Source organism: Homo sapiens, chromosome 11 (genome assembly GCF_000001405.40).
Source record: "Homo sapiens chromosome 11, GRCh38.p14 Primary Assembly".
NCBI lineage: Eukaryota > Metazoa > Chordata > Mammalia > Primates > Hominidae > Homo > Homo sapiens.
Window position 1 is genome coordinate 4,770,361 of NC_000011.10, and position 20,933 is coordinate 4,791,293.

The 20,933-nt window shown below is 38.1% G+C and overlaps 1 protein-coding gene and 1 pseudogene across 2 annotated transcripts in view; both read left to right on the top strand.

Annotated features, from left to right (window-relative positions):
* Nucleotides 1-20,933, top strand: part of MMP26 (matrix metallopeptidase 26) — a 287,646-nt gene that overhangs the window by 65,577 nt on the left and 201,136 nt on the right. The window lies entirely within an intron of this gene.
* On the top strand, nucleotides 16,394-17,342 carry OR51N1P (olfactory receptor family 51 subfamily N member 1 pseudogene; annotated as a pseudogene).

Here is a 20,933-nt window from a genome sequence, read left to right on the forward strand (position 1 = left end):
ACACAGATCTCCAGATATTTGCCAGGAATATAAAGTTATCAATGTATATTTATCATTTTCATCCAACACTATAGGTAAACAACTTCAGAGACTAGAATTATAAGAGAAAAACAATGAGGACAGAACTCTCCAGAAGACTGGAATGCACTATATACACTAAAGCAAGATGAGACTGGTTTTATGGGGACTATGAAAACCAAAAGAGGCTGGGCAGGTGGCTCATGCCTGTAATCCCAGCACTTTGGAGGCAGAGGTGGGCGGATCACGAGGTCAAGAGATCAAGATCATCCTGGCCAACATGGTGAAACCCCGTCTCTACTAAAAATACAAAAATTAGCTGGGCATGGTGGCGTGTATCTGTAGTCCCAGCTACTTGGGAGGCTGAGGCAGGAGAATCGCTTGAACCCAGGAGGCAGAGGTTGCAGTGAGCCAAGATTGCACCACCGCACTCCAGCCTGGTGACAGTGAGAGACTCCGTCTAAAAAAGAAGAAAAAAAAAAAACATGGTGTGAAGACCGGATGTTACATGAGCAGCTGTGTCGAATTGCTTGCGCTGTGAAGCCTAGTAAGGATTAAAAAATTCAAATGCAGCTGAGAGCCATTAGCGATCCCAGAAAAAACAGTGGAAAATTGAGAACCTGCTACAGTGTGGTAATGATGAAAGTATTAGCAGTGGAGGTACGGTTTATTTTAAGAAACTTGGCAGTGAAGGCAAGGGGAGAAGTAGGCCATGTCTAAAGAAGGGGTATCAGGTAGATGGAGAATTTTTGCAAGATGGGACAGAATTCGAGAAATTGATATGTTTATAAACGGAGGTTAAAAATGTAGCAGATAATGAGAAATTTAAAATATAGAATGTGAAGGATTTATTGATCTATAAAAGTCCTTAAGAAAGTAGTGGGTGATTAAGTGTAGAGCATGAGTAACCTTCAAAAAAATGAGGACCATCATTTGCACTGACACTAGTAAGTGTCAAATATGTAAGTTTGTGGAGAGTTATATAAGGAAATTGTTACCTTTTTCTCTGTGAAGTATTTGGGGGTAATTTACTGCTGTTCAAAAGTGTAAAGTGATGGCTGCTGGCTTCCGGATACAGTAGACGTTTTCAGGAGACAGCGAATGAGAAGGGCAATTGGCTCAGTAAACAGAAATGCTATATCGCCTCTTTCAAGTAAAATTCCAAGAATAATTTTGTCAATTAATATATTTATATTGTTCAAATCAATTCTGGGGAGAATTAAATTAAATAATAGCAGTATTCATGAGTATAATGTTAGTATTTTTCAATCAAGTCTTTAAAAAATTAGATGTGTCAAATTCATGAGAGTAAATATTCTGTAGCAAGGATACAAGTTACTGTTCCCTTTATGCTAGTATTCTGTGGTTTATTTTAAATCTCCAGTTGTCTGATTTTCAATTCAATCTGAGAAACATTATGAAAATATTTAAGTATGAATTATTAGAGGTTGTATATCTACATGTTATGTGGATCGATGAGGACAGGGCAAACCCTCATGATATCTGACTTTTCTATAAACCCATATGACTATTTGTGAATAGGTAACAAAGTAAAAGTCAACACGATAAATATATCTATCTCCCTTCTTACCAGCTTTACGTGGAAAGAGGAACCTTCTCTGTCTTTGCTAGATGAGGAAGGATAGACTACAGTTCTGGAGCCATGGACTTTATAGTAAGGTAGAATTGAGCTGTGAGATTATTTGTATGATTTATGTCTCTCTGCAGCCAAAGACAGAGCAAAAAAGAAACCACCCTCTCTCCCTATCTATAAAAATTAGAGGGCAGGAGTGTGTAATCCCAGAGGGTTTTAGTTACTAATCCAAGTAACCTGTGGTCCACAGGGACATTAAATGCAGAGGAAAATAAACCAAATTATGCATATAAATAGAAAATTTACACACTGTTCATAGCATTGGGGAATAGAGAGATGTACATCATTGTCTCTGGATTATAAGTGTACTGGCAAGATAGGAAAAGAAACCACTGTTCACTGGGATCATTATGGTCACAATAAAGAGGGAAAACTTTACACCCAGTCTCTAGGCTCCTATGCCTACATTTCCACATTGAACCATAGGGAGAATGATAGATGTCCATTCTCAAATCCATTCTTTTTCAAACACTGAGTTTTCCCCCAGTAAATGTGTCAGCTCCTGATATATTAATTTGGCCCTGTTTTGCTAGTAGCTAGGGTTACCATGAATGAATGATGTTCTCATGTGCATGTATTCTTACTCTGTTCCCTGCTGTTTTCTTGCATTAATACTTTCAAGCACCTGATTATTGAGAGAGTTTTTTCATTTTTGTCAGTGTAGGCAGTTGACTAATGGATGCAGACACTTTACAGTCTACTAATTCTAGGTTCATAAGAAAAGTCTCACATTCAAGCCTTTTGTTTCTCCTTTATAGAGAAGCTGCACATTTGTGGAGACAGTCTTGTTTTTGTTTAGGTATCAATAATACCAGTAATTTGTTCCTCACTCAGCTATTTTTCTTTGATTTCTACTCTGCTATTACTCCTGTGCATTCCTGTTCAAGTAATTTTAATGGCTGAAAGTGTGATGGGTTCAATTGAAGCACTATATCTCTACCCGGCATTCCCATCAACTGTTTTGACTAATACTTCCACGACAAAAATGAACTATAATCAAATCATTTTATAAGTCAGAAATAAATAATTAAAAGTTTCGCCTCTGTTGTCTTAAAGAGCTAACTATCTAGAGTTTTCACCCAAATATCTGTGACGGTCAGATTGTAAAATAATAAAATAGTCCCTCAGTACTCCTACCTTCTTGGACTCAGCCCATGTTTATCCTCTGCTGTTGAGTGTGGGTAGGACCTCTGACTAACTTCTAACCAATAGAATATGGCAAAGTTGACAGGATATCATCACATATATGTCATATAAGATCTGTCTTTGGTGAATCAAGGTTCCATGTTTGGCAAACCTATGTGGCAAAAGACTAAGAGTGGACTCCAGCTAACAACCAGCCAAGAACTGAACATGGCCTCCTAGCCAACATGTAGCAAGAAACTGAGTCCCTCAACTCAACAGGCCACAAGGAACTAATAGAATCTAGCAACACTTCATAAGCTTGGAAGGATAGCCTTCCACAATAAGGCTTCAAATGAGACACAGCCTTTGGAGAAAACTCAGCAAAGCTGTATTCAGACTCCTGACTTACAGGAATTCAGAGGTGTAGTGTTTGTGGGGTTTTTTTTTTTTTTTTTGCTAATTGGTTTTGAATTTTTATTTTTATTTTTAGTTCTGGAGTACATGTGCAGGATGTGCAGGTTTGTTACACAGGTAAACATGTGCCATGGTGGTTTGCTGCGACTATCCACCCATCACCTAGGTATTAAGCCCAGAATGCATTAGCTATTTTTCCTAATACTCTCCCTTTGCCCCCACCTCACCCCCTGACGGGCCCCAGTGTGTGTTGTTCTCCTTTCTGTGTCCATGTGATCTCATTGTTCAGCTCCCACTTATAAGTGAGAACATGAAGTGTTTGGTTTTCTGTTCCTGCATGAGTTTGCTGAGGATAATGTCTTCCAGCCTCATCCATGTCCCTGAAAAGAACATGATCTCATTCCTTTTTATAACTGCATAGTACTCCATGGTTTATATGTACCACATTTTCTTTATCCAGTCTATCATTAGTGGGCATTTGGGTTAACTCCATGTCCTTACTATTGCGAACAATGCTGCAATGAACATACATGTACATGTTTCTTTGTAACAGAATAATTTCTATTCCTTTGAGTATATACCCAGTAATGGGATTGCTGGGTCAAATGGTATTTCTGGTTGAGGAATCGCCACACCATCTTCCAAAATGGTTGAACTAATTTACATTCTGACCAACAATGTAAAAGCATTCCTATTTCTCCACGACCTCACCAGCTTCTGTTTCTTGACTTTTTAATAATGGCCATTCTGACTGGTGTGAGATGGTATCTCCTTGTGGCTTTGATTTGCATTTCTCTAGTGATCAGTGATATTGAGCTGTTTTTCATATGTTTGTTGGCTGCATGAATGTCTTCTTTTGAGAAGTGTCTGTTTATGCCCTTTGCCCACTTTTTAATGGGGTTGCTTGTTTTTGTCTTGTGAATTTGTTTGAGTTCCTTGTAGATTCTGGATATTAGGCCTTTGTTGGATGAATAGATGGCAAAATTTTTTCTCCCACTCTGTAGGTTGCCTGTTCACTCTGATGATAGTTTCTTTTGCTGTGCAGAAGCTCTTTAGTTTAATTAGATCCTGTTTGTCAATTTTTCCTTTGTTGCAATTGCTTTTGGCAATTTCATCATGAAATCTTTTCCTGTGCCTATGTCCTGAATGGTATTGCCTAGATTTTCTTCTAGGGTTTTTATAGTTTTGGGTTTTACATTTAAGTCTTTAATCCATCATGAGTTAATTTTTGTGTAAGATGTGAGGAAGGGGTCCAGTTTCAATTTTTTGCAAATGGATAGCTAGTTCTCCCAGCACCATTTATTAAATAGGGGTTCCTTTTCCCATTGCTTATTTTTGTCAGGATTGTTGAAGATCACATGGTTGTAGATATGTGATCTTATTTCTGAGTTCTCTATTCTGATCCATTGGTCTATGTGTCTGTTTTTGTACCAGTACCATGCTGTTTTGGTTATTGCAGCCTTATAGTAAAGTTTGAAGTCCTATAGTGTGATACCTCCAGCTTTGTTCTTTTTGCTTAGGATTGTCTTGGCTATACAGGCTCTTTTCTGGTTCCATATTAATTTTAAAATAGTTTTTCTAATTCTGTGAAGAATGTCAGTGGTAATTTATTGGGAATAGCATTGAATCTATAAATTACTTTGGATAGTGTGGCCATTTTCATGATATTGATTCTTCCTATCCATGAACATGGAATATTTTTCCATTTGTTTGTGTCCTCTCTGGTTTCCTTGAGCCGTGGTTTGTAGTTCTCCTTGAAGAGGTCTTTCACTTCCCTTGTTAATTGTATTCCTAGATATTTTATTCTATTTGTAGCAATTGTGAATGGGAGTTCATTCATTATTTGGCTCTCTTCTTGCCAGTTGTTGATGTATCAGAATGCTTGTGACTTCTGCACATTGATTTGACTGCTCAATGATATATCATATGTAACTGCAACCCAGCTGATGATCTATGTTTTAGCCTGTTTTGTGTTCCTGTAAAAGAATACCTGAGGCTGGGTAATTTGTAAAGAAACAGAGGTTTATTTGGCTCATGGTTCTGCAGGCTGTACAGAAATCATGGTGTCAGCATCAGCTCAGCTTCTGGTGAGGGCCTCATGTTGCTTCCACTCATGGCTGAAAGTGAAGGGTAGTCAAGCGAGTGCAGAGAGTACAAGGAAAGAGAGGAAGTGAGTGAGAGAGAGAGAGAGAGAGAGAGAAAGAGAGAGAGAGAGAAGGAGCCAGGCCTTTATTCTGTATAAATTTAAGGGGTACAAGTATGGTTTTGTTACATGCATATATTGTATAGTGGTGAAGTCTGGGTTTTGAATGTAACCATTATGTGAATAATGTACATTATACCTATTAAGTAATTTATTATTATTCATGCTCATTTCACTCCCCTACCCTTCCAAGTCTCCAGTGTCTATCATTCCACAGTCCACGTCCATGTGTAAACATTGTTTAGCTCTCATTTATAACTGAGAACACCCAGTACTTGACTTTATTTCTGAGTTGCTTCTCTTAAGATCATGGCCTCCAGTTTCATCCATTTTGCTTCAAAACACAGAGTTTTGTTCTTTTTTGTGACCAAGTAGTATTCCATTGTGCACATATGCCACATTTTCTTAATCTAGTCATTCTTTGATGGACACCCAGGTTGATTCATATCTTTGTAATTGTGAATAGTGTTGTGATAAACATGTGAGTGATGGTATCTTTTTTATATACTAATTTCTTCTCCTTTGAGTAGATGCCCAGTAGTGAGATTACTGGATCAAATAACAGTTCTATGTTTAGTTCTTTAAGAAACCTTCATACCGTTTTCCATAGAGATTGTACTTGTATTCCCACCAAGACTGTATAAGCATTTTCTTTTCTCTGAATCCTCCCCAACATGTGTTATTTTTTGACTTTTTAATAATAGCATTTCTGACTGGTTCAAGATTATATCTCATTGTGGCTTTAATTTGTACTTCTCTGATGATTAGTGATATGGTTTGGCTCTGTGCCCCCTACCTAAATCTCATTTCAAATTGTAATCTCCAAAGTGTCAAGGGAGGGGCCTGGTGGGAGGTGATTGAATCATGGGGGCAGATTTCCTGTTGTGTTCTCATGATAATAAGTGAATTCTCATGATATCTGGTTGTTTGAAAGTGTGTGGCATTTCCCCCTTTGCTATCTTTCTCTCCTGCTCCACCGTGGTAAGACATGCTTGTTTCCTCTTTGCCTTCTACCATGAATGTAAGTTTCCCGAGTCTTCCCAGTCATATTTCCTGTTAATCCTGTGGAACTGTGAGTTCACTAAATCTCTTTTCTTTATAAATTACCTAGTCTCAGGTGGTTCTTTATAGCAGTGTGAAAACAGCCTAATACAATTAGTGATGTTGAGGAGTTAAACTTAAAAAATATGTATACTATGCTTACCACACACCAGTTGAATTACCCTTGGACAATGGGACTTGTGATATAAAGATTGAAAATTCTTAAAATACAAGGGTACTAGGACAGAATTCTAGGTTCTCTTCATCCTGATTTTTCCAATAGCTACTTGTAATTCTTTGCAAAATTTGATTAACCTCCCTGAATCTCAGTTTCCTCAGACATGAAATGAAGATTAGGCATAGTAACCTCATTTACTGAGCACCTATGTGCCATGAGATTTGGTCCCCTCTAGCTACTGTAAGTAAAAATGATGTTTTAACTTCATATGTCTAGAAGTTAAGAATCATAAAGGTTAAGGACCCTGTTAAACTTTATATAGATAATGAGTATCAGAGGTAAAATTCAAACACAGATTTGTCTGAAGATTTTAAAATATTTTCCCAAGTAGACAGTTGTATACCTAGGTCATTTCTGAAAGCCATAGGCATAGAAGGTAAAATAAGGAATTTATCCTTAAATATTTGTAAGTAATTCTTTTATTGAAGTATACATACATCACAGTATGCAGATTACAAGCAAACTGGTTGAATTTTCACATTTGAATACATCCATGTTACCACCATCCAGATAAAGAAATGAAAAATTACTAACAGAAGAAACCACTTTTTAAGATATTTCAACCATTATTCCTTTCTCCTCAAAGGTGATCACTCTCCTCACTTCTATCCAAATAGGTTAGTTTTGCCTGTTTTTGGATGTTATCTGATTGGATCAGTGCTGTATTTATATTAACATTGTGTCTGAGAAATTCTTCCACAGAGTGTGTATAGTTATAGTTCTTTGCTTTTTATTGCCTTGTAATGTTCCAGCGTATGACTATACCTCACCTTAATTAACTTTTCCATCCTGTTGTTGATGGATGTTGTTGTTTCTCCCATTTTCTATTGTGAATAATTCTGCTATGAATATTACTGTGCTTGGCATTACAAAACATGCATAACATATGCATACCTTTTCAATGGTTATATACCTGAGAGTGGAATTGTTGGATGACTGAGTAGGTTTTTGTTTGGCTTTAGTAGATATGGCCAAAAAGTTTTCCACAGAAATCGTGTATAGCCATATATACTCCCACAGTGTATATGGCAGTGCATGGCAGTTCAAATCAATTCACATCTTTCTCTATAAGTGTCATTTCTGTTTTTGTTTTATCCTTTCTTATGGGTGTTCACTGATACTTCATTGGAGTTTTAATTTTAATTTCTTTATGACTAATAGGGTGAAACAACATTTGATATATTTTGTGCTGTTTGGATACTCCCTTTTAAGAAATGCCTCTCCAAGCCTTTTGCCTATTTTCCATTGAGTTGTGCCCTTTTACCTTCGTCATGACTTCATCATGTCGTTGATTTCCACATGGATATCCAATAGATCTGGTATTCGTTATTAAAATAAACATTCTCTTGTTATTGCATTGTGATATCACTTTTGGTATCTATCAAATGCCTATATGTGGGTTTCTTTCTAGATTTCCTGGTGTGTCCCATTTGCCTATGTGTCTTTCCTTGCACCAATACTGCACTATCCCTGTAATATGCTTTGATGCCTGGTATTATAAGAATAAAGCTTCAACTTTATTCTTTTGCAGCAGTGCCTAGGCAATTCTATATACTTCACATTTTCACATAAATTTTAGAATAACCACTGTAGGAAAACCTGCTAAAATGTTGATTTGGGATTACATATATATGCCATTTTTGAAAGAACTTACTTGTTTAAAATATTAAACCTTATAATTCATGAACATGATAAATATGTGTATGTGTCTTCAATTTCTGATGATTAATAGTTTTTTCTATCAAAACCTTTCACATATTTGATTCTCAGTTGCATGATTTCTGATGCTATTTTAAATAATATCATCTTAGAAATTTATTTTTGTTATTGATTTATAGACATACAATTGATAGTTTAATACTGTTTTTTGTATCCAGTTATCTTGCTTAATAACACCAACTACTAATAATCATTTATTCATTCATGTCAATTATTGTATGTAGTGCTATGCCTCTTGTTCTTCCTGATTATGTAAATGCACAGTCATGTCATCTGTGAATAATTTAAGTTTTATTTTCTTTTCCTTTACTCTGCTGAGGTATTTTACTTTTCTTGCCTCATTTCAATTCTTAAGGTCTCGGATACAAAGTTAAGTAGAAGTGGTGATGTTAGGCATCATTATCCTGTGACCAAATGCATAGGGAATACTTAAACATTTCAACATTAAGTATGATTTTTGAAGAGAAATTTTCTATTTCTGGTTTACTAAGTTACCATGAATATCAATTTAGATTCATCACTTTTTTCATATGGAGAATAATGTAGTTTTTCTCTTTATTTTATTAATGTGGTAAGATACGTTGCACGATTTTTAAATGTTCTTACTGAGTTATTTTTGATAATATTTTGTTTGAAAGTTTTGCCTCTAAGTTAATGAGAATTTTCATTTTAATTTTTCTTGTTTTGTAATGCCCTTTCAAGTTTTGTGGACTCACAAAATAAGTTGGGAAGTATTCTTTTCTTACCCACTTTAGAAGTGTTTGTACAATTAGTATTTTTTATTTTATTGTTCTATTTTTCCCTTACATTCTTTGGATAATTCACTAGCAAACACCTCTGAAGCTGAATATTTCATTTCAGAAAACTTTTTGAATTCACATTTGAATTTCTTTCTTCCTTACATTAGTTTAGCTAAGTCCTATTTTTAAGAAAATGTCAAATTTCATCTAAGTTTTCAAATTTATTGTTTTCAAGTTGTTCAACATATTCCTTAGCTTAATGAATCCTAGCAAACGGAATAGAACCATTAACCATCACCAAGCTTAAGACACAGAGCATTACTGACATCTCTCCTTCAAGTCAAAACCTCCTCAATGGCAACCAGCCTCCTTACTGAAGCACCGTATTTTTTTCCAGTAACTGAACTTTGTATAAATTGAATTAAACTGTACATACATTTTTGCTCCTTGAGTTTTTTACTCAATGTTGAAATGAGTGATTGTATATTCATCCATGTTGCTGTATGTAGTAGTTTTTCTCATTATCATCATTGCATAGAATTCCATTTGTGGGTATACATCAACTTATTAGTTTGTTGACTATTGTTGGTCATTTTGTTTTTATTTTTCAATTTTGAATTACTACAAATATTGTTATTGTAAACTTTCTTGCATATTCCCTTTGTAAGCCCATGAACACATTTCTGTTGGGGTTTATCAAGAAATAAAATTTCTAGTTCATAAGGAATGCAGTTTTAACATACATGACCAAAAAGGTTTTTGTAAGGATATAGCAAACAACCCTCCCACAAGCAGTGCATGAGAATTTTAGTATCTGCATCATCACTAACACTTAGTATTGTCTCCAATTTTAGCCACTCTGACATATATGTAGTGGTGTTATGTTATGTTTTTAATTTACATTTCCTTAAAGTTGGATGCATTTTCCTGTGTGTATTGGACACATGGATATCTTCTTTTGTAAAGTAATTGTTAAAAGTTTAATCTGTTTTTTTCTCAAGATTATCTATTTTCTTATTGATTTTTGTTTATTTTTGCATGTAATTATTTTATTGGTTATATGTAAAAAGGATACAGTGAAATCTGTACTCATGCATTATGGCTAGTGGAAATGAAAGATGTCACTTTGGAAACAGTTCAGCAGGTTCTTATAAAGCTAAACATGCAGTTAGCATATGAGCCAGAAACTTCACCTAGGTATTTACCTGTGAGAAAAGAAAACATATTTTTTTGCAAAGTACTGAAGTACATATTTCTCCATAGTAGTATAAAACTAGAAATAACACAGATGGGAAAGTAATTTTAAAATAAAATATATAAACATATATTGATAAATATATAAATTAATGTATCTATAAATAAATCTTTATAGGTAAATATGTATCTGTAGATATGTAAATTTACATATTTAATTACATAACTATATATGCTATGTAATAATACTCAGCAATAAAACTTGATGCATGAAATAAAATGGCTGAATTTCAAAAGTATCATGCAAAGCAAAAGAAGTTACATACAGAGACTATATGTTTCCATTTATATAAAATTCTAGAAAAGATTAAAGTATAGGAGTTTACAGCTCCAGCCAGGGGCTGGGGGTAGAAAAGAGGGCTTATTTTATACAGGCATAAGAGAATATTTTGACTAATGAAAGTGTTATCTATTTTGATTGTGGTGATGGTTGTACGACTGCATAAATCTGATGAAACTTTGAATTCTGTACACAAAAAAGGGTTAATTATTGTATGTATAATTTTATCTCAGCAAACCTGCCTTAAAAACTGATTGCAGGGAGGCCGAGGTGGGTGGATCATGAGGTCAGGAGATCGAGACCATCCTGGCTAACAAGGTGAAACCCCGTCTCTACTAAAAATACAAAAAATTAGCCGGGCGCGGTGGCGGGCGCCTGTAGTCCCAGCTACTCGGGAGGCTGAGGCAGGAGAATGGCGTGAACCCGGGAAGCGGAGCTTGCAGTGAGCCGAGATTGCGCCACTGCAGTCCGCAGTCCGGCCTGGGCGACAGAGCGAGACTCCGTCTCAAAAAAAAAAAAAAAAAAAAAAAAAAAAAAAAAAAAAAAAAAAAAAAAAAAAAACTGATTGCATAATCAAGTATTAAACTATAATTTTAATATTATTTTAAAACCATTCTGATTATATAGTGTTGTATAAAATACCACCCTGATGTGGTTTGTCTCTGTGTCCCCACCCAAATCTCATCTTGTAGCTCCCATAATTCCCACCTGTTGTGGGAGGGACCTGGTAGGAAGTGATTGAATTATGGGGGCAGGTCTTTCCCATACTGTTCTCATGGTAGTGAATAAGTCTCCCAAGAGCTGATGGTTTGATAAGGGGAAACCCTTTTTGTTTGGAACTCATTCTCTATTTGCCTGCTGCCTTCCATGTAAGACATGACTTGCTCTTCCTTGCCTTCCACCATGATTGTGAGGCTTCCCTAGCCAAATGGAACTGTAAGTCCAATTAAACCTCTTTCTTTTGTAAATTGCTCAGTCTTGGGTATGTCTTTATCAGCAGCATGACAATAGACTAATGCAGTAAATTGGTACCAGTAGAGCAGGACACTGCTGAAAAGATACCCCAAAAATATGGAAGTGACTTTGGAACTGGGTAACAGGCAGAGGTTCGAACAGTTTGAGGGCTCAGAAGAAGACAGGAAAATGTGGGAAAGTTTAGAACTCCCTAGGGTCTTGTTGAATGGCTTTGACAAAAATGCTGATAATGATACGGACAATGAAACCCAGGCTGAGGTGGTCTTGGATGGAGATGAGGAACTTGTTGGGAATTGGAGCAAAGGTGACTCTTGTTATGTTTTAGCAAAAAGACTGGTGGTAATTTGCCCCACCCTAGAGATTTGTGAAACTTTGAACTTAACAGAGATAATTTAGGGTATCTGGAGGAAGAAATTTCTAAGCAGCAAAGCATTCAAGAGGAGACTTGGGTGCTGCTGAAGGCATTCAATTTTAAAAGGGAAACAAAGCATAAAAGTTCAGAACATTTGCAGCCTGACAATGGGATAGGAAAGAAATTCTCATTTTCTGAGGAGAAATCCAAGCCAGCTGCACAAATTTGCATAAGTAAGAAGGAGCCAAATGTTAATTCCCAAGACAACGGGGAAAATGTCTCCAGGGCATGTCAGAGACCTTTGTGGCCCCTCCCATCACAGCCTGAAGGTTTAGGAGGAAAAAGTGGTATATTGGGCCAGGCCCAAGGTCTCTGTGCTGTGTGCAGTCTAGGGACTTGGTGCCCTGCATCCCAGCTGCTCCAGACATGGCTGAAAGGGGCCAATGTAGAGCTGTGGCTGTGGCTTCAGAGGGTGCAAGGCTCAAGTCTTGGCAGCTTTCATGTGATGCTGAGCTTGCAAGTGCACAGAAGTTAAGAACTGAGGTTTGAGAACCTCTGCCTAGATTTCAGAAGATGTATGGAAATGCCTGGATACCCAGGCAGAAGTTGGCTGTAGGGGTGGGGCTGTCAAGGAGAACCTTTGCTAGGGCAGTGCAGAAGGAAAATGTGGGGTTGAAGTCCCCACACAGAGCCCCTACTGGGGCACCACCTAGTGGAGCTATGAGAAGAGGGACACGATCCTCCAGACCCCAGAATGATAGATCCACCAGTAGCTTGCACCGTGCTCCTGGAAAAGCTGCACTCAACACCAGCCTGTGAAAGCAACCAGGTGGGAGGATGTACCTTGTAAGGCCACAGGGGCAGACATGCCCAAGATCATGGGAACCCACCTCTTGCATCAGTGTGACCCAGATGGGAGACATAGAGTCAAAGGAGATAATTTTGGAGATTTAAGATTTGAATGCCCTGCTGGATTTCGGATTTGTGTGGGGCTTGTAACCCCTTTGTTTTGGCCAATTTCTCCCATTTGGAATGGCTGTATTTACCCAATGCCTGTACCCCCATTGTACCTAGCAAGAAACTAACTTGCTTTCGATTTTACAGGCTCATAAGCAGAAGGGACTTGCCTTGTCTTGGATGAGACTTTGGACTGTGGACTTTTGAGTTGATGCTGAAATGAGCTAAGACTCTGTGGGACTGTTGGGAAGGCATGATTGATGTTGAAATGTGAAGAAGTGAGATTTAGGAGGGGCCAGGGGTGGAATGATGTGGTTTGGCTCTGTGTCCCCACCCAAATCTCATCTTGTATCTCCCATAATTTCCATGTGTTGTGGGAGGGATCCTGTGGGAGGTAATTGAATTATGGGGACAGGTCTTTCCATACTGTTCTCATGGTAGTGAATAAGTCTCACAAGATCTGATGGTTTGATAAGGGGCAACCTGTTTCTCTTGGCGCTCATTCTCTCTTTGCCTGCTGCCATCCATGTAAGATGTGACTTGCTCCTCGTCTTCCACTATGATTGTGAGGTTTCCCCAGCCATGTGGAGCTTTAAGTCCAGTTAAACCTCTTTCTTTTGTAAATTGCCCAGTCTCAGGTATGTCTTTATCAGAAATGTGAAAATGGACTAATACCCCAAATTTAGTGGTTTAAAATAGTGACATTTTATTGCTCACAACTCTGAAGTGCAGGCGAGGCTTGGTAAAGCATAGTTTGCTGCATTCAGGAACAGGATCAATTACTATAATTCAAAGGCTGGAGACTGAAGTCATCTGAAGGCCTCCTCATTTACAATATCTGGCAGTTAATAATGGTTGTTGGCCAGCATTTCAGCTGGGGCAGTGATCAGAACACATACATGTGGCTTTTCCATGACACAGCTTGGTTTCTTCACATCATGGTGGCTGGTTTCCAAGGTGAGTGTTCCAAGTGCACAAGGAATCTGTAGGAATCAGAATTAGCCTTAAAAGATACTCTAGTGGATCGAATGGTGTACCTCTAAAAGCTATGCCCAAGTTGTAATCTTTGGTACCTGTGAATATAACCTTGTTTGGAAAAGGGGTCTTTGCAGATATAATTATGGTAATGATCACAAGATGAGATCATCCTGGATGAACCAGGTGAGTCCTAAATCCAATGACGATTGTCCTTTTAAGAGACAGAAAAGGAGAAGGCCATGTGAAGATAAAAGCTGAGATTAGCATCATGTAGCCACATGCCAAGAAAGATCTGAAGCCGTGACAGCTGGAATAGGCAAGGAAACATTCTCTGCTAGATTCTTTGGAGAGTGTGTGGGCTCTTGACACCTTGATTTTGGACTCTGGCTTCTAGAACAGAGATGGTACATTTGATTTGTTTTAAGCCACCAAGTTTGTGGTAATTTGTCATGGAAATTCTGGGAAGCTAACATAGGCACATAGCATTATTCTTTAAAAATTTTTACTAATAAATGACACGTAATAATTGTACATATTTACTGAGTACAATGTTATGTTTCAATGCATGTGTACATAGTATAATGATCAAATTGGGCTATTGTAAATGTGTTGCATATTTCAAGATGGTGGAAAGAGAAGATTTTGAATGTTTTCACAAAACATCAATTTTGCCAGAGTCACAGGCCCATCCAGATTCAAGGGGAGGCAATATAGACTTCATTTTTTGATAGACAGGTGTCAATGTTGCTTGTAAGAAATGCATGTGGGTTGATATATACTGGTGTGACCATCTCTGCAAAATACAGTCTGCTACCCTCAGGCCTCTAGTAAGATAACCAACCATCCCAGTTTGCCCAAGACTGTCACTGAAAGTCTCACATTCCAAGAAACCCTTCAGTTCTGGGAAAGAGCAGACAGTTGATCACTGTACTAGCCATAATTTGCATTGTTAACAAATTAAAAAATGTATTTATCCTCTCTCTTAAGTACTCCATGTCTCATCTTATTATATCAGCTTGAAGTTCAAGATCTTGTCCCCTAATTCATATCTAGGTATAGATGAGACTCTGTAGTTAAAGTTCCTTGAACACAGATAATTAATGACTATTCCTTTTGATATGTATACTTATTGTCCGAGACTCATTAGCTACAAGGTAACTCAGTAGATAAATTAACAGTATTTTGTACCATCCTCTAGATTTAGTGGGTATTTCTCATGCCTACTAGATTATTTCTTTCTCATAATTGACTTTACTTACATGACTTTTCAAATTCTTAGCTATTGTACATTATTTCATTATTTTCATAATTATCATTACAAATCCTAATTCACTATACATAAAAACCTTCAGCCCAAATATTTTTCCTTTCAAATTCTGCAAATAGAATGCAGCTTTTAACAAACAGCCTCATGAGGTGATAAATGACTGAAGCAGGAGATAACTATAATTAAGCACCAGATAGAGTTCTCTAAACCTCACTAAAAATTGCAAGACCATTCCCTACTCCTCTGGGATATGTTTTCGCTATGTTTTAGTATCCTCTACTGTCTAATAGATCTGTTCAGGGACATGTCTCCAGATCAGGGGCTCCATCTTATTGATTTTATTGGGGAGGCACTAGGGTTTTGCCTGAGGAAATCTTACTCAGATGACAATCTGTTGCCCACTTGGCAAAACATGCTTTATTTATTTATTTTTTCTCAAAGTTCTCCCTTTTCTCCAATCTTGATGGACCTGGGGAAACTGAACAAGTCTCTATGGGGTTCAATATAAAGCCCTGACCTGTGGATTACTTGTAATTCCTCTCTCAGCCTGGGTGTGTGTGAAACTGCAGGACCCTGGAGTAGGTAAGGAGCTGCTGCAGATCCAGACTCCAGGGAAGAGGAGAGCTGAGACTCAGGCAAAAGGAAAGCAGATGGGGAGTTTTCCTCTTTCTGGATCTGATTCTAGTAGGAAGGACAGTTATCTGCATGAAGAGGAATAACTGCAACTCAGAATTTAATGCCAATCCTCCCTCCAAAATCTTGGAGACTTTGCCTGGTTCCCATCTCTGGCTCTCACAACTGATGAAAATGCAGTGAACTTCCTATGAGAGTAGGATGGGATCTATCAGCAATGTACCACAATCTCAGCTCTTTTTCCTCTTTCAGTTTACAGTGCAAGGTAGTAAGATCTGCTGATCCTTTTTTTTTTTTTTTTTTTTTTTTTTTTTTACCAAAACTGTTGTGAGATAGGATGAGGTAGGATTATGAGTATGAGAAGTGCTTCAGGAGCCAAATGACTGATCAATGAGGGCTATTGTATTTTTCTCCCCTTAGGCTGGCTCCACAGATTTGGGAGAGAACATTCCCAACAATCTCTCAGGCACAGATAGATTTGGAATTTAGTTCCCCTGCTCAGTATGGGTGCTCAATGAAGTCAGGTACTAACTAACCAGCTCACCATGCCACACCTCAGCAACACCACATCTGAGTTCCCAATCTTCCTCCTAACAGGCTTCCCTGGGCTGGAGGCCTTCCACATCTGGATCTCAATTCCCTTCTTCCTTCTGAGCACAGTTGCTCTCTTAGGGAACAGCATGATCCTATTGGTTGTTATTCTGGAGCCAAACCTCCATGAACCCATGTACTGTTTTCTCTTCATGCTGTCTGCCGCTGACCTGGGGCTGACCCTCTCCACAATGCCCACGACCCTCAGTGTCCTCTGGTTCAGTGCACGTGAAATCATCCTCAATGCATGTATCATCCAGCTCTTTTTCCTCCACAGCTCTGGCTTTATGGAATCCTCAGTACTGATGGCCATGGCTTTTGACCGCTTTGTTGCCATTTGCAGACCCCTCAGATATGCTACCATCCTGACAGACTCCAGAATTCTAAAGATTGGTGTAGCAATAGTCCTAAGAACATTGATCAGCCTCTGTCCATCCCTCTTTCTCATTAAGAGACTGTCATTTTGCAAAGTCAATGTCCTTTCCCATTCTTACTGCTTCCACCCTGATGCGCTTAAAGTTGCATGTTCTGATTCAAGGATGAACAGCTATGGAGGCTTAGCTGTTCTCATTCTGGTCACCGGGGTTGGTACACCATGTGTTGCGCTTTCCTACATCCTGATAATCCACTCTGTACTAAACATCATCTCTTCAGAGGGACGGAGGAAGGCCTTCGACACTTGTGGATCTCACATTGGGGCAGTTGCAGTCTTCTACATTCCCTGGGTTGTTCTTTCAGTTGTCCACAGATTTTTCCACAAGGCTTCACCAATATGTCCACCCACTATTGTCCAACATCTATTTCCTTGGCCCCTCTCGGCTGAACCCCATCATATATAGTGTGAAGACTAAACAAATCCGCAGGGCTATCCTCAAACTCTTTCAAACAAAATCAAAAGAAATGTAATGGGGGCTTTTCTTCCTGCTGGGGTCTACCTGATTCAATCATATTCTGTTGCATTTCTCTCCCATGCCAACCCGTATTTCTTCTCTAATAACAAAAAGAAGAACAGTAATGCTTACTGAGCACCCACTATCTTCAAGTTCTGCATTTGTCTCCTTTAAGTACATGCTTTCTTTTACTTAGCTTAAACCACAGTTCTTTGAAATGGATAACCATAATTTCAATTTATGAATTAAGAAATTCAGGGACTAGAATATTGAATGATTAGTTTAAGATAAAAAATCTGGAATTTATATCCACAGCTATTGTCTCAAAATCCCATGCTCTTCCTGGATATCATGCTGGTTCTAAGTATAGAAGATACAGTTAGTGCCATTGTTTGAGGATACATGGATATCCAGTTCTGCTCTCTCCCAGAATACTTAACAGGCACACAGCACATTGGAAAATTCCTGAAGAAGGGACACTATGACCCTATTCCTCTTCAATCTTCTATATTCTTTCTGCTTTCTCAGAACAGCTGTGCTAACAGAGATTTTACTTCTGGGTATAACAGACTCTTAGGAGACATGTTACAAGCCATGAGCTCCCTCTGTGAATCTCACTGAGATTCCTCCACAGAGGGAGCTCATGGCCTGTGACATGAGAACCGTAGATTTGAGAGAATTGAGGGTTCTAGTTGCTGGAGTAGTGTGATGCTACCACATGCACAATTCACACATAAACAAGGAAAATGGCTTCTAAGAAGCAAAAGCTCAGTCACAGAAGCATTTTACCAGTAATAGCATTGCTTCTCAAATTTGCCTAATTTTCTATTTGTGACCTGGTAGATAACTGTACAGAAAAAAAATAGTATCTGCATAAGTATCCAAAGAAGCATTAATTTTTTTTTAACATTTGATACAGTCAACTACAGAAACAGCAATTACAACACAGTTGGCATTGTCAAAAGAAAAACAGAATAAATTCATCTTGAGCTTTAGAGGTGCCAGTTTGGGTTTAGGCATTTTGAAGGGTTAGGAAGATGAGAGTTGGGCTCAAAAACAGGGTATTTCCTCAGTATTCTCAATGTGATTTCATTCAATGAAATGAATGAACAGTGTTTTGGGGATGCTTTCTCACCTCAAGTAGACAATATATTCAATGTTGTCAGCATGTATTGAATGGATGGATGGATGGAAGGATATACAAGGGGACCACAGCTATGATTATGTAGCTTTTGACCATGTCTCAGTTTTTGCCCTGGTATTACCTAACGCATGAGTTCCCAGCAAGCCTGCATGGTAGAGAATAAGAGCCTGATTCTCTCTTTGTGATTTTCCTCCACTTATCTATTTGTGGGTAAGTGGAAGTAAAGGATTGGTTTGGCTTTCTCTAAAACAGCTACTCACATCAGACATTTGGCTAAGAAGTCTTGTTGAAAAATAGTAGTTTCTAATTTGAATGAGTGACATGTGGGGATGTTGAATATATGTAACTGAGGTTAGAGATTGTTGTGTTTCTATGTGGCATTTTTGTATTGCAAAATTTTAAATCAAGATGAATTTCAGATTGATTGGTTTGATTTATGTTTCTAAAGCCTCTTCTCTTACATTTTATTGTAATTAAATTGCAAAATGCCTCATTCTCTATTTCTATCTGGAAAATAAAGTGATTTTGGGGTCTCTGTTACTATATTCTTTAACTAGGAATCTCCAGAAGATGCTGGTAGCAGGTTCCTGACTATATTCCCATTTTTTTTTGACAGGAATAGAGCTACACATGCTAGGTTATCATGTATTTTACCAGTATACAAGTTGATTTCCTGAAGGTAAAGATATCCCCCCACTTTTTTTTTTTTTTTTTTTTTTTTTTTTTGAGATGGAGTCTCGCTCTGTCACCAGGCTGGATTGCAGTAGCATGATCTCGGCTCACTGCAACCTCTGCCTCCTGGGTTCAAGTGATTCTCCTGCCTCAGCCTCTTGAGTAGCTGGGACTACAGGTGCCTGCCACCACACCCAGCTAATTTTTTGTATTTTTAGTAGAGACGGGGTTTCACTGTGTTAGCCAGGATGGTGTCGATCTCCTGACCTTGTGATATGCCCGCCCCAGCCTCCTAAAGTGCTGGGAAGCACTTCACAGGTGTGAAGGATATCCCTTTTAAAGAAGAGAAATTCACACAGAATATGTTTACTTGGTTCAATAAAATATTTATGGAATATATATTAAGTAGCAGATGAAGGTTTAAAATAACAATATAGATAAGAAGATTGCATGTATAACAAAAGACCTATTAAATATGTAGCATTTGATATTTAAATAGATGGATGCACACATATTGAAAATTATAATACACAACTATATTTAAGAAGCAATTAGGCCAGGTACGGTAGCTCACGCCTGTAATCCCAGCACTTTGGGAGGCCAACGCAGGCCGATCACAAGGTCAGGAGATTGAGACCATCCTGGCTAACATAGTGAAACCCCGTCTCTACTAAAAATACAAAAAATTAGCCGGGTGTGGTGGCACGTGCCTATAATCCCAGCTACTCGGGAGGCTGAGGCAGGAGAATCTCTTAAACCTGGGAGGTGCGGAGGCTGCGGTGAGCCAAGATTGCGCCATTGCCATTGCACTCCAGCCTGGGCAACAGAGTGAGACTCTGTCTCAAAAACAAACAAACAAAAAAAAGCAATTATTAAATAGTTTCATTTCAGATTTTGAGGAAAAACTCAGCATATTTATGATGTTGCTGGAGTTTCTCCCATTTCACTCTGGGATTCAATTTTTTGACAGTAGGTCACACTTAGAAATGGGCCTCTCAGTCCCTCTTATTTCTTCCAGAAGAAGGTATGTAATTGCTATTTGGAGGAAGACATAAGTACTGGCAATTGTATGAGATCAAATCAGGCGATAGTTCTCTTCTCCAGAATGAGGGTGGTGTATGAGCAAAAATAGTAGGAAAGGGCCCAGGTAAGAACATGGTAAGTCAATCTGATGGTCTCGTCTTCCACACACCCTCTCCACTTCCACAAATGATCAATACACATGTTGCCTCCTGCCATAGGCTCTTAATGGCTCTCCATGAGTAGTGATTCACTTTTCTAGGTTAACCATGCCAACTCAATATTTCTTCATGCACACCATGCTTATTATGATGTTCATAGCTTAATAGTTACTGACGTTTAAAAATAAAGGTGCTAAGACCTTCAAATAATGTATCTCATAAGTGGTATACATTCAGAACTTTGTATATAAACGTCTCTTACATTTCTAATTATATCTTAACTGCTACCTTCGAAGTACATTATGCTGCCTTATATTTAAAAAACCTAATATTCCAACATCCTGCTTGTTGTATCGGTTATTCTCAATTGTCTCATCAATCAATAATCATTTCTTGAGCACCTACTGTGTGCCAAGCCCTGATAAATCTGAAGCGTACATAAATAAAAGAGGCCACAATTTGTGCTTTTAGAATCTGAGAATCTACCACAGGAGGCTAAATAGATTCAAATGCCTGCAATGCAGTCAAGTACAGTGGTTAATAGTTGCGGCTATGAACAGAAGTGGGACATAATATTCCAGGCTAGGCAGCTGGGCTCATTCTTTGA